A 15,297-nucleotide genomic window follows, 5' to 3' on the forward strand; every position below is an offset into this window, starting at 1 on the left:
GGCGGGAGGCTGGCACTAGCCCGGGCCACGATAGGTCGGACTACAGCTGGTAGCAACTGGGGGTCGGAAGTGGAGCCCAGACAACAGCGGAGGAGAAATTTCCGGGGCAGAAAATGAAGGTGTCCGAGAGACTGACAATTCTCTTCTGACTTCCTCAGTGCTAACTGGCTTTGGGTATCTCCTGCAGCAAAGTGGCCGCCCCGCCCTCTCATCCCCTGCGACCCAGCACCCTTCTTCCTTGCCTTGAGGCTGCGCCTTAGACAGCCCGGTGGGTATCTGTTTACCCCTTAGCACTAAGGGATAAGTGCACAGTAAGTGCAGAATCATACAGTGTTTCCAAATCCTCAGGGTAGACGTGTGAGCTTAGTAAATGAGAGGAATAGCGGACGAACCTCTCCGTGTGTTTGTGTCTCGAGTGCCCTCATCTCAGGAGCAATTTTAATAACTTAACAGTTGCGGTCACATTACTTTGAAAATACAAAAAACGTAGAAATCAGAGTAGCAAAGAAAATTATGGATCTGATGCTGTGCCAGAATTGATCACAGTTGCTCTAAAGCCCTGGGGTAATAGTTAATATTTCATGTGAGCCTCCACTTAAACGATTTATCAATACTCAGTACACCACTCTTGGAACAGCTAGTAAAACTTCAGGTGCATTATAAAAAGTACAGTAATGCATTGGCTTCAACTTGCATATTTCCCAAACATGGGCGTTTGCAAGAAAAGCAAACACTTTTTGATAACATATACTGAAGGATCTTAAAATAAGATCAGCAGCTTATAAGTGAACCTAAAAATCTATACACTGTTTCCATTGATCTCAAGGTTATTTAGAGATCTGCTCACGTCCTCCTACCCCTAAAGACTTTTTAGTTTTTCATATTCTCTTTCTCTTCTTCTACCTAGAAGTATTAAATTTTCATATTGTGATCCACCATAGATAGGTATGTTTTCTTCATTTAACCTAACGTGAGTATTTTTCTATTTTGTTTCATAGTCATTGTTACAAATGACGGAGTATTCTGTTGAATAAATGCACTGTAATTTAACCTTTCTCTAATTTCCCCAACTTTATTATATATAAGTTACAGTGCTCAACCTGTGTATTGTTTTTCTTATTTCGAATTTCCCCCTTTAGGAAAATTTTTGGAAAGCGACAGTTCTGGGGTAAAGGGCATAAGGCTTTTTAAATAACTTTAAGATTTTAAAGATATATAGAGCCAATTGCTTTCCGAAAGGTGGTACCAATTTACAATTGCACCGGCTGTGAATGTAATAGACCGTAGAAATTGATCATACACAATTGGAAATGAGTAAGTGGAGAGCTCTAAAAAGTTTTAGTTGTGACCAAATCTGTTGTCTTGAGTATCCTAGTATCAATGCAACATTACCAGGATTGTTAGTGAACTAAACCTTTTAAATAATTTTAATGTTTATTTCTAGTTTTTCATCTGTAGCATTTTACAATCAGAATATAATTGCTTATGGTAGATAATTTGGAAAACGCAGAAGTATACTAAGAACAAAGTCAACAATAATTCCACCACCCAGCAATAAGTACTGAATGGCTAAAATAACTCTTTGGTAAATTTATTTTCAGTGTTTCCTGACACCCCAAGCATTTATAGATATATATGTTTAAAAAGAGTCGTGTTATATATAGGAGTTTATGTTCCTCCCTTGGGTATTTTGAGAAACTATAAAATTAAATCATTCTTATGATTAAGAAAAACAGTGTTACAGCAACAGCCTGTTTCAATCCCACCTCCACTTACATTTCCATTCCAACACTTCAGTGCTGACTAACACCCACTGTTTGAAAAACTTTCTAGAATTTACATGTATATTTTATATACACTTTGAATATATCTTCCCTTCCTTCTTTACCCCCATACATATCAAAATATGCTTTAACTTTGACTATCTTGTTATTAACAAAAGACTTAAATAAATATGTTAACTTAAAACAATTGTCAATTATTCTTGGTGCAAAATGAATGTTTATCATACTACTCTCTTTTTCTGCATTTAAAAATATTTCTTAAAACAATTCAGTTAAGTTTAATTAAGCTCCATTATCTTGGGCTGGGTGCTGTGGCTTACGGCTGTAATCCCAGTACTTTAGGAGGCCAAAGTAGGTGAATCACCTGAGGTCAGAAGTTTGAGACCAGCTTGACCAACATGACGAAACCCTGTCTCTACTAAAAATACAAAAAAATTAGCTGCGTATGGTGGCGCATGCCCGTAACCCCAGCTACTCGGGAGGCTGAGGCAGGAGAATCACTTGAACCGGGGAGGCAGAGGTTGCAATGAGCTGAGATCATGCCATTGCATTCCAGCCTGGGTAACAAGAGCGAAACTCTATCTCAAAAAAAAATTAATTAATAATATAAATAAATAATAATTAAGTTCCATTATCTTAAAAACGATTATAGATATGTATGTATCCATGTACGTGTATAAAATAATATTTGAAAAGACCATTAATCTCTTATAATAACGGATATGTATAAAGACAAGGATGAGTTTAAAGGAGTAAAGTTAATATTTTACTTTATACTCTTAGATATGTTTTGAAAATGTAAATACATACTCATTTTTGATATAGTTAACATTATGAAGAGGACAAAAAACCAACTTAACAATGACTATTTTTATTTGTTCTACTTTATTCGAAAGATGAAAATTTCATCCATTATGATTGTGTGTTGAGCAGTTTGTGGTTTCTGTATTTTGAACATATATTATTCATCCTATAAAGGTGCATGTCTTTCGTATTTACATAGTTTATGTTTTTAATATAAAATGACCTTCTTTGTATCATTTTGTATTTTTGTCTTGAAACCTACTTTGATATTAATGCTTCAACTTTTGCTATGTTTCTCTTTGTTTTTGCCTAATAAACCTCACCCTATCCATTTATATTTAACCTGTGTCATCTTGTTTTGGGCATATCTGCTGTAAGCAGCAGATAGATTGCATCTTGTTTTTCTTTTTTTAACTCAAATCCGAGAATCTTTTTATTTTGCAGAGAAGCTTAACCTTTTTATTTCTGATTAATGCTTGAAAGTTCAGGTGCCAAAGTGGCCCAGAACTTATTAATGGTTTTATAAGTCAATTAACGTCAATAAGCCTGAGTTTTCTTATCTGTAAAACATTGATAACAGAGTGCTGTGAAGATTAAGTTAAACAATGCATGTAAAACATATAGTCTAGTGTAAGCACTGAATGATAATTTCACAAAAGTTTAGCAATGAAAATGGTCAACTTAGATGTTTAGTCCTATTTGGTTATTTCACTTTTGTTTTCCCTTTTATATGCAGTTGTGTCTGCTTCCTTGCTTTTATTTTATTCTATTTTCTAAATAAAGTATGTGCTTGCTTTTTTATTTTGTCCACGATTTAAAAAAAAAATATATATATAGGTTTTAATTTATTTCAGCATGTATTAAGTAGTTAATGTGTGTTGGTACATTAGATGCAGGATACAGTGGTGAACTGAAGTGACATTTTACCTGTCTTCGTTGTATTTGAATTTTATAAGAAAGACGGATGTGAATCAAATATTCCCAATTATGAATTCAATCACTGATAATTGCCATAAATGCTATGAATGGGAAGTACGTTATGCTAAGTTAGTGGAGATGGGAATTTGCCTAATCTTGAGTTGGAGTGCAGGCATAGGTGTTAGTCTAAACAGAAGTCCTGCAATGGAAGGTAGTATAACATTAAAGAAAGCACAGAATCATCGAGGTAAACCAATGCTCAGAAATAAGGGATACCAGATGTATTAGGACATTCTTGCATTGCTATGAAGAAATACCCAAGACTGGATAATTTATAAGAAAAGAGGGTTTAATTGGCTCACATTTCTGCAGGCTATACAGGAAGGGCTCAGGAAGCTTTAACTCATGGCAGAAGGCAAAATGAGAGCTTGTACTTCACATGGTAAATGCAGGAGCAAGTGGTGGGGGAGGTGCCACACACTTTTAAATGATCAGATCTCATGTGAACTCAACTGGAGAACTCACTCATCACCCAGGGGATGGCCCAAGCCATTCATGAGAGATGCGCCCCCATGACCCAAATACCTCCCACCAGGCCCCATCTCCAAGATTGGGGATTACATTTCAACATGAGATTTGGGCAGGGAAAACTATCCAAACTATATAATTCTTCTCCTGGCCCCTCCCAAATCTCATGTCCTCACATTGCAAAATAGAATCATACTTTCTCAGCAATCCCCTAAAATCTTGACCTTTGCCAGATTTAACTCAAAAGTCCAAAGTTTCATCTGAGACAAGACAAATCCCTTCCACCTATGAGCCTGTAAAATAAACAAGTTAGTTACTTCCAAGATACAATAGGTATGTATAGGCATTGGGTAAACATTCCCATTCCAAAAGGGAGAAATTGGCTAAAAGAAAGGGGCTATAGGCTCCATGCAAGGCAAAACCCAAGCAGGCCGTCATTAAATCTTAAAGCTCCAATGTAATCCCCTTTGACTCTATGTTCCACATCCAGGGCACACTGGTGCAAGGAGAGGGCTCCCAAGGCCTTGGGCAGCCCTACCCCTATACCTTTGCAGAGTACAACTCCCCCAACTGCTCTCATGGGCTGGGATTGAGTGCCTGTGGATTTTCCAGGTACAGAGTACAAGCTGCTAATAGATCTACCATTCTCAGGTCTGAAGGATGGTGGCCCTCTTCTCACAGTTCTACTAGCCAGTGCTCATTAGAGACTTTGTGTGGAGGCTCCAGCCCCATATTTTCCCCTCCACATTGCCCTAGTAGAAGTTGTCTGTGAGGGTTCTGCCCCTGCAGCAGGCTTCTGCCTATACATCCAGGCTTTTTCATGCATCCTCTGAAACCCTCACAGAAGCTTCCAAACCTCAGCTCTGGCACTCTGTACATCCACAGGCTTAACATCTCATGTAAGCCATGTAAGCTTATGGCTTGCATCCTTCAAAGTGGCAGCCCGAGCTGTACCTGGACCCTGTTGAGCCATAGCTGGAACTGGAGTGGCTGGGATGTGGGGAGAGTAGTTTGCCAAGGGCTCGGCCCATGAAACCATTCTTCCCTCCTAAGGCCTCTGATGGGAGGGGCTGCCATGAAGTTCGCTGAAATGACTTCAAGTTGTTTTCCCCATTGTCTTGAATAGTAGCACTTGGCTCCCTTTTAGTTATGCCAATGTATCTAGCAGGTGGTTGCTCCACAGCCTGCTTGAATTCCTCTCTACAAAAAAGCTTTTTCTTTCTCTGCCATATGGCTAGGCTGCAAAATTTCCAAACTTTTATGCTCTGTTTCCTGTTTAAATATAAATTTCTACTTTAAGCCATTTCCTTGCTTCTGTATCTAAGCAAAGGTTGTTAGAAACAGCCAGGCCACATCTTGGGCACTTTGCTGCTTAGAAATTTCTTCTGTTAAATACCCTAGGTTATCACTCTCAAGTTCAGATTTCCTCAGATACCCAGGGCATGAACAGAATGCAGCCAAACTCTTTCCTATGGCATAACATGTGTGACCTTTGCTCCAGTTCCCAATAAGTTCCTCGTTTTCATCTCAGATCTAGTCAGCCTGGATTTCATTTTCCATATCACTATCAGCATTTTGGTCACAATCATTTAAGCAGTCTCTAAGAAGTTGCACACTTACTCTCATCTTCCTGTCTTCTCTAGAAAGACATACTCCACGTGATCCTAACCTCTGGCCATTATCCAATTTCCAAGCTGTTTCTACATTTTCAGGTATCTTTATAGTAATACTCCACTCTGAGTACTAATTTTCTGTATTAGGTCATTTTTGCATTACTATAAAGAAATGCCTGAGACTAGGTAATTTATAAGAAAAGATTTAATTTGCTTATGGTTCTGCAAGCTTTACAGGAAGCGTAATTTCTGGTGAGGCTTCAGGAAGTTTTACTCATGGTAGAAGGCAAAGCAGGAGCTTGCACTTCACATGGCAAAAGCAGGGAAAGAGAGAGAGAGTTGGGGAGGGGAGGTTCCACAGACTTTTAAATGACCACCAGATCTCAGAGCAAGAGCTCACCTATCACCAAGGGAATGGCCCAAGCCATTCATGAAGGATGGACTCCCATAATCCAAACACCTCCCACCAGGCCTCACCTTCAAGACTGGGGATTATATTTCAACATGAGATTTGGATGGGGGCGAATATCTAAACTATAACACCATCTGAGGCTGGAAAGGTAGACAGAGGCCCAACAACACAGGCAGCCTGAGAGGCAGCTGTAAGGATGATTAAAAGGCTTTTATCCTTAGGGCAAAGAGGAATAATTGAAAGGAGTTTTCCATTAATGTGATTTTTCCAGAAATCTCAAAATTAACTGAAGGCATGCAATAATCCAAAGAGCCCTTATTCAACAAAAGTGCTAAATATTGGTAAGAACAACAAATTGTGTGACATTTTAATTTCCCTATTTCCATTCTCTTCTTTATACCTAAATGGTAGGTATAAAATCCAGCAGCCTCTCAACAATAGGTATGTAAAGTGGAATTCTAGAAGCTACAAGAGGAGGCAGAATGGCATTGTCTAAGCATTGACCCATCTGACAGCTCCTTGGAAAAGCTCAATTTTTAAGGCTTGTGATCGTTTTGACTTACTGAAAGCTTGTTGATTGGGAAAAATCTTGTTTCTAGGACATTTGCTGAAAACAATCAAAAGTGATTGTTTAACATGGCAGCTGCCTGAGGAGACTATACGAGTTGAGGCCAATAAGAAGCTGGCCAATAAAAATGTAAATGGAAGAGTTTATGAGTGAGATAACACCAGAATCTTTGAACAACACTGACATATTCCTAAGGAATGTGAAGAAAGCCACATCCATGAGTAGGGCTGTGTCCATGTAAAAGAATGATCTGAGAAAGTTCCATCCTCTCATCTCTACTTGAACTTTAGGTCCTTTGAAGCAGGAAGGGAAGACTAATGCAGAATTGTAAACTATCAAAACATTGAGAGCCTGTCAATACATACAAAGAGCCTCTCAACAAATAATATACAGCTTATTCACTCAGGGTATATAAGGAAATCTCTGTCCAATCACGAGCTTAACTACAAAGCTAACTGTACAGAGGACTCAGTGGCCACAAATAACAGGGAATAAAGAGTTTACAGAATTAGTCCAGGAGATAAATAATAACAACAACAACAACAACAATAAATGGCAATCAAAAGAAAGGCTGGGAGGAGATAATCTGATTTCTAGAGTTGTCACATTATATTATATAAAATATCCAGTTTTCAATAAAAAATTATGTCTTGTAAATAAGAAGAATGGCTCATATACAGGAAGAAAAAAAAGCATGCAATATAAACTGTCCCTGAGGTAGATATTGGACGTAATAGGTAAAGACTTTAAATCAATTATTATAAATATGTTCAAAGAAATAGAAGAAACTAATTCTAAAAAACAAAGAGACTGATGTCTCAGCAAATATTACTAATGAAGAAATAAAAAGTAAAAATTCTCAAATTGAAAAGTATAATAACTAAAAATTTACTATAAGGATTCAATAGAAGATTAGTCCTGGTAGAAAAAGAGAATTTGAATATAGGTCAGTTTACATCATCTAGTCTAAGGAACAGGAAAAAAACTGAATAAATAAAGATACATAAAGTCTCAGAGACTAATTGAACAGTATCATGCTTACCAGCATACACATATTAGAGTCACAGAAGAAGAGAATATGGGAAAAGGGGAAGAAACAGTACTTGAAGGTATAATAACTAAAAACTTCTCAAATGTAGTTAAAACATTAATGTACACATCTGAAAAATTTAGGAACCCCCAGTAAGACAAACTCAAAGAGATGAACATATACAAAATAATAAAATTGTCAAAAGCCAAAAATACTGAGAGAATTTTGAAAGCAGTAAGAGAAAAATGGGTCTCCACATATAAGGGATTCTCTGTAAGATTAACACATGATTTCATTTCCAAAACACTGTAGTCCAAACAGAAATAGGATGACACAGTCAAAGTCATAAAAGAATAAGATCATCAACTAGTCTATTTTGCAAAATTATACTTCCAAAACTAAGTATAATATTTATAGATTTCAAGTATTAGTATGTGGGCATCTTGTGAGGGTGAGGCATTATTTAGCCTACCACAATACCAGTATCATAAGGTTCTCCAAAGCAACTGAAAATGGTTTCCATCAGTTTGGTCTTATCCATATCTGTCCTTGACTTAAACTACTTCTGAGTGATATAAATATTTAAAGCCTTTTCCAATATCTGATTTATTTATTTCCTGGTGAATTAATACCCTCTAAACTCCCCAGTTGTAAAATGAAGAATTTAGGAGGTTGTGTTCTCTAGATAGTGAAATGATTAAAAATATTATGAACTTCTGAGTTGAAAACAGATTAGACTCTCCAACACTTAATAAGGATGTGGTTTTAGGAAAGGTATTTTACTTTCGATGTCTTATTTGTAAAATGAATTCAATATTGTCTACTTCTTTAGTTTTATTGGTCCATAGATAAAGAAAATTGTGCTACCAGGTAGATCATATCCAGAATCTCACCCACACCTAATTTAGATTATTTAGATGATGAGATTTGGATGAGATCTGAGGATTTGAATTGATGCTATAATGGGTTCAGAAATTTTGAGGACCTTGAGATGGAGCAAACATTTGGAGTAACATTAATCTGGCAGCCAGAGGGCCAGATGTGATGTGTAGAATAAGGTTTACCCAAGAATTTGTATACCTTAATTCCTAGAACTCTGAATATTATGTTACATGGCAAAGGGGATGTAAGGTTGCAGATAGAATTAAGATTGCTAATTAGTAGACATTAAAATAGAGATTTTCCTGGACATCCAAATGGGCTCAATGTAATCTCAAGCTTCCTAAAAAGTAGGAGAGGCTATACAAGAAGAGGTTAGGGTGATGTGATGTGAGAAGGACTCGACTCACTGTTGCTCACTTTGAATATGGAGAAAGCAGTTTACAAGCCAATAATGGTGGGTAGCCTCTAGAAGCTAGAAAGGGAAGGAAACACACTTTCCTCTCTAACTTCCAAAAAGGAACATAGTCCTTTTGACACATTTGTTTTAGCCTAGTGAGACCTGTGTTGGACTTCTGACATACAGAGTTGTAAAATAATACATTTGTCTGTTTTCAAGCCACTATAATTTAGGTAATTTAGTACAGGAGCAAGAGAAAATTAATACCTGTTTGAGTTTCCATGAGGATTAAATTTAATTAATGCATATAATACTGGTTTCCCAGTTACAGGTTAATTAATAGAAATTCATGTTATATTTCTCCTGATAGCTCTTTCCTCTTTTTAGATTTTATTAATGAGGAGAATTGAAATCACATTATTAATATTAAACTAATAGCTTTCATGTTATATATCCCCTTTGGAAATAATTTTTGTAATTTATATTCAGTTTTGTGACCATATCTGCAATATTTCTACTTAGTCATATGTTTAATTTGCTTTAATAACCGCTGTCAACATACCATAATTTACTCATATCAGTTTCTTAACTTTAGAGTGATGTTGTTTCTGAATTCTTTTAGTTCTAAGGTGTCTCTTTTGAATGACAACTTACCTGGACATCAAATTTTGGGTCAAAATCACTTTCTGTCAAAATTCTTCTTTAGGTATAACTGCTATTTTCGGATGTTTGGTATTGCAAAAGAGAAGCTGGAAGCCAGAGTAAATTTTGTTTATAGGTTATCAGTGTTTCCTCTTTGGATACTTGTGGACTTTTTCAAAACTGTCATGTCATATATGTTGCTAGCTTCTGCATTCAGTACTTTTGCAGACTAGGTACCCTGATCAACTGTCCCATGGAAAACAATTTAAAACATGGGATACAATTCTTTAAAACTTTTTATACATTCACCAATGCAAGAACATCAGAAATACTCAGGGGACAAAAACTATGAGAAAGAGCAATCTTTAGCTCCAAAGCTGAAACATTGAGGATGGCTGTCATCTTGAAATGATCTTGTGCTCAAGTTGTCACCAAGAGCAAGAGAAAAGAGAAACATTCCTGGATCTGTCTGAGGTGGAACTGTTGAGAAAATTTGCCCTCCCTTCCTTTATTAAGCTGGGAAAGCAAAGGGCTATATCCCTGCTATAAAAATGAAATATAAACCTACATTGCTCTTTCTCTTTCTTTTCCTTCATCCTCTATAGAAGACTACCAGGAGCATTGCTTGCTTCACATCTCAGGTATAAGTAAAGAAGGAAAAAAGCCAACCTTTACTCAGGTTGGTAGTCAAGATTCACACTCTAGAGATTGTTAAGAATATTTTTAAAACTCTAAAGTAAAAATTTAGTGTGAAGTGCTCTTTTTAAATTGCCTGATAAAAGCAATATACATTCTCTCTACATGCACCTACTTCAAGCTAGGCCTCAAAAGATACCAATAGATAAAGTTGCAGGAAATGTGAGCTCTCAATGAAAAAAAAAAAAAGTATAAAATACCATGAATGAAAGCTAACAAAACAATAGTGGAATTAAACTGCTAAAGGGTTGAAATTTATCAAATACAATAGATTTAAAGAAATAAAAAGGACTGACAACGTAAGTAAGAACAACAAACTTCAAAAATGAAAAAGAAAAAGAATCAGAAACAGCCAGAAATAAAAATATATATAGTTAAAAGTTTATGAATAAGCTTAATAGCTGATAGACCCACCCAAAAGAAGGATTTTTGAACTGGAATATAGAACTGAAAAAAATACATAGAATGCAAAAGAGAGAGAAAAAGAAATTGAAAATACAGAAAAAAGGTAAATACAAGAGGAGATTAAGAAAGTCAGATATTTGTGTAATCAGAGAAGGAACAGGGCAGAGTAAAATAGAGATAGTATGTAAGAAGATAATTGGTAAGAATTTTCCAGAAATGATAGATGAGTAAGTACAGAGTCAGGAATCTCAATGAATCTCAAGCAGAAAGAAAAAAATTACAATATTTTTAAAATTGTAAAGTAGCGAAAGCAAAAGAGACCTTGCAGAAGCTGTAGAGAAAAGACAGAGTATGTAGCAATTGACAATGGAAGCCTGAAAAGAGCAGCATTATACTATCAGTAGCCAAGATAAAAATGTTTTACCGTCTCATTAAACGTTATATACTCAATAATATAATATTCAAAATGAGCCAAAAATGTGTATAAATATATAACACAGATAGAAATACAATAATAATGGGTTATATTAGAACACCCCTTAGCCTTTGACAGATTAAGTAGAATGATCCACTCCAAAAAAAAGAAGCAAGATAGGATCATAGAGAATTTTATTTTGTATTAAAATATAGTAGGTAGTGGCAAGCTATTTTTTCTTCTATTTCAACAACTATAAAAAGAAATACATCATAAGATTATATTTTTAAAGACATTGCATAGGTGTAGAAGCAAAGAAGCTTATATATCAACTAAAATTTTAAAGACAAGAATTCTTCCTAGTTGAATTGTTAATCAGTCTTTCCTCTTTGAGGTCACTGGATTAAGACTGAGCTTGCCATAGATAGAAAAGCTCTACTAAGTTTAGCTAAATGAATAAACAAACAAAGTGAGCTTTCTAAAAACTGCTGCACGGGCTGGCATGACAAACTGAAATCCAGAGAAACCAAAGACATTGTTGACTAAAGAAAGAAAAATAAAGCTTTTAAAGAATTAAAGTTAGTTTTATTCACAAGCCTTACTGAGGACTGTAGATGATTATAGCCTGAAAGGAGTCTTTTGGGGAGATTCTATCAGCCTGCTCCAAAACAGTGTTTCAGTTCATTACTTATATACAGGTTGTGAAAGTTCAGTATGTATGAAATTCATTTTAAAACTTTTTTCTCCTTTCTCTCTACTGTTAAGATGTAACCCTGAAATAGACTGTAGAAACATTTTTTTCTTAGTCTTAAAATATAGCCTTGAAATGTACTTTGAAACTCTCCTCTCTTTCCCACCAGACACTCCCTTAAAATACGCACGCTTATCTAACTGTATGCTTGTTTAAAAATTCCAGGGACTTATTTTACAACAAGCCAAGCATGGAAGCCCAGTTGTGGGATTCTCTTCCACTTGGAAATTACCTCAAGATGGGTTATCTGCAACCTGGCTACAACTGACATAGTACCAGCTGGAACTCCAGGTGGACAATAATTCAAGATAGCATTTGCAGCAAGACATGCAGACCTGCATCCTGTACTACTTCTGTGTATTTTTCATGCCAAGCCTCTACTTTTAAATCCCTCCCCTCAGCCGAAGACCTAAAATGGTCTTTTAAAGATATGAGTCTGGCCATTTCCCAGTTGGTAGCATTTGATATATAAAACTGCCTTCCTCTCACCACACCTCACTTCTTGAGTTTTCGGCCTCTGAGCAGCAAGCAGCCGCACTTCAGCCAGCTACAAGTATATGCTCAGAAGTTACATTAAAGCAAAATCATATCACCGTTTAGGTGCAAGAGTATATCTGGTTGTGGATTACAGAGGCATAATCACTAACCGTGTCAGAAGTTGTCTTATGTGTAGGAAAAGGCAAGGACTAGGGTCATTTATCTTTTAAGGAATGTAGTGACTCAGGCAAGAGATGTGGTGTCCATGTGCTGTATCCTTGTTTTATCTTCAAATCATCCTTCTGGAGAGCTGCATATCATTACAAAGTCAGGGCTTTGTGAAATTTTGCTGGCAAGCAGAAATGAACAAACACGGCTTCTTACATTTGCAACTTTGTCTCACAACACACATTGAATTTTCTCTAAGGGACATTTTTTAAGTGAAAGGGTGGCACAAGAATATGGGAGCTACACCGGAAAGGTAGAGTGAAGATCTCCCTCAGTCTCACAGTGCTTGCAATTCAAAGTCCTGCTAGAAGAAGGATCAAGAAAAAATTTATTGTGTAAATTATATACTTGGCTTTTGTCTCTGTTTCCTGGCATATAATTCTTAAAATCTTTGGAATCTCCAAAGTGATGTTGTTTTGTATACTAACAAGTTTACTGATGGCTAGTAGCCCCTAGGTAGCTTCAGGATGAAGGCTGGTCATAGAAGAAAACAAGACATGATTAAGAGGATTGGGACTTTCAGCCCCATCTCCAACTTCCAGATAGGATAGAGGGGTTGAAGGTTAAGTCAATCATGAAAAGCCAATAGCTTCATCAATCATGCCTATGTAATGAAGTTTCCATAAAACCCCAAAAGAACTGGGTTTGGAGAGCTTCCAGATAACTGAATACGTGGAGGATCCTAGAGAGTGACACACTCGTCGAAGCTCCTCCCCTTCTCCCATACCTCACCCTGTGCATCTCTTCATCTGTTTTCTTTGCCCAATAAACTGGTAAAGGTAACAAGTGTTTCTCTGAGTTCTGTGGGCCATGCTAGAAAATTAATCAAACCCAAAAAGGGTGCTGTAGGAAGCTAAATTTGAAGCAGGTCTCTGTGGGATCTGATGCTGCTGACAGACAATGTTAGAATTGAATTGGAGGGCACTCAGGTGGTGTCTGCTATAGAGCTGATGGCTTGCTTGGTGGTTGCGAGAAACCCCCATATTTGGTCACTGAAATCTTATGTGTTGATTGTTGCAGTATGAGAGTAGACGAAAAACAGTTTTTGTTTTTAAAGTTTTAAGCTACGTCTAAACTCACATAGCTTTCAGTAGAACAATGGAAGCCACAAAACAATAGAATGACATCTTTAAAGTGATCAAATGAAAAAAAACATCAAAAATGAAAGTTTGGGTTTGGATTTGGGAAATATGGTAACATCCGTGGAAGTATAGATTTTGGATCTTTCCAAATCACTGCATGGGAACAGGGTAGTTACCAAAACCAAAGCCTATGGATGATATTTACAAAAGCAAAACAAAAGCGCTAATGTAACACAACTGATGGGTTTAGTTCACTGTAAAAGTGGCTGAGTGCAAGGGACCCATAGTAAGGCCTCAGGGAGCTGAAACTGGTTATTTCCTATTAACTTTCAAACTGAACCAACAGGCATTCCTCCCAGGGCAGGGCTCAGATCTAACGAGGAACTGCTTGGAGTGGAATCACAATAAGGATGACAGAGCAAAAAGAAGATGGGCCGGATAAAAGCGCTAGAGAGAGAACTGGAGAATCTCAGAAAACAAACTCAATTTTTTTTAACAACACACACAAAAAAAATGGATGAAGGGAAACTATTAAGTTATTAAAAAAAAAAAGCTATCTAAATCAGAATCTCTTCACATAGCCCAGAAAGAATAATTTCACATGAAAATGAGAGATACAAGATATTAAGATCAAATCTCATATGAATCTACCATGAGAAAAAAGTGTGAATAAGAAGTAGAATAATAATCCTACAGAATAACTGGAAAGGCATATTCAAGAAATAAACACAACTTTAATAGAATGTTTTAAAATGGGCTGAAAAACTTTAAGAAAATGATTCAAGACACAAAAGAACAGCACAAATCAGAATTAGAGTAACAGAAATTACATAACAGAACTTAAGAATCAGAGGCTGGGCGTGGTGGCTCACGCCTGTAATCCCAGCACTTTGGGAGGCCAAGGTGGGCGGATCACGAGGTCAGGAGATCGAGACCATACTGGCCAACACGGTGAAACCCCGTCTGTACTAAAATTGCAAAAAAAATTAGCCGGGCGTGGTGGTGGGCACCTGTAGTCCCAGCCACTCGGGCGGCTGACGCAGGAGGATGACGTGAACCCTGGAGGTGGAGCTTGCAGTGAGCTAAGATCGTGCCACCGCACTCCAGCCTGGGCGACAGAGCCAGACTCCGTCAAAAAAAAAAAAAAAAAAAAAATCAGAAACAAGATTTTAAAAAGACTTAACTCATATACAGCTTTTTTTGTGGAACATAAATTTTCATTTCTCTTGAATATAAATGAAATTGTATAATTGCTGGGTCATATCATAAGTTAGTTATATGGTAAGTTGGTATGGTGAATTACATGTTTAATTAAGAAAGTACTATACTGTTTTCCATAATACTGGACCATTTATATTCCCATCAGCAATATGTTGGAACTTTATTTTCTCCAAATCCTTGCCAGCATTTTATATCCTTAAAAATTTTAGCCTTTCTGATAGACATGAAGTAATAATAAATTTTGAATCAGGTGTTAGCCCTTAAAAATCATTCTTCTTTATCAAGTTGTTTTGCCTATTCTAGGTTCACTTGCCTTTTCATGTGGATTTTAGAATCTCCTCGTAGAACTGCTTGCTTGCTTGGTGGTTGGGAGAAATCCCCATATTTGGTCACCGAAATCTTATGTGTTGATTGTTCACAAAAAGCCTGCTGAGATTTGACTGC

At 36.7% G+C, this 15,297-nt stretch overlaps 1 long non-coding RNA gene across 1 annotated transcript, besides 1 other annotated feature; it reads left to right on the plus strand.

The window, feature by feature from the left end:
- Window positions 1-6: 6 nt before the first annotated feature.
- On the plus strand, window positions 7-13,333 carry LOC124902812 (uncharacterized). Its single transcript, XR_007062978.1, has 2 exons — window positions 7-268; window positions 12,011-13,333. It is a non-coding gene; the product is annotated as an uncharacterized LOC124902812 (long non-coding RNA).
- Window positions 4,888-5,394: an enhancer, noted in NCBI's record as "NANOG hESC enhancer chr11:89961208-89961714 (GRCh37/hg19 assembly coordinates)". NCBI's record gives its function as "activates a minimal SCP1, AML or CMV promoter by ChIP-STARR-seq in primed H9 embryonic stem cells {active_cell/tissue: H9 hESC(primed)}" and the evidence as "EXISTENCE:reporter gene assay evidence [ECO:0000049][PMID:30033119]".
- Window positions 13,334-15,297: the final 1,964 nt, after the last annotated feature.

The sequence above is a fragment of the Homo sapiens genome, chromosome 11 (genome assembly GCF_000001405.40).
Source record: "Homo sapiens chromosome 11, GRCh38.p14 Primary Assembly".
Taxonomy (NCBI): domain Eukaryota; kingdom Metazoa; phylum Chordata; class Mammalia; order Primates; family Hominidae; genus Homo; species Homo sapiens.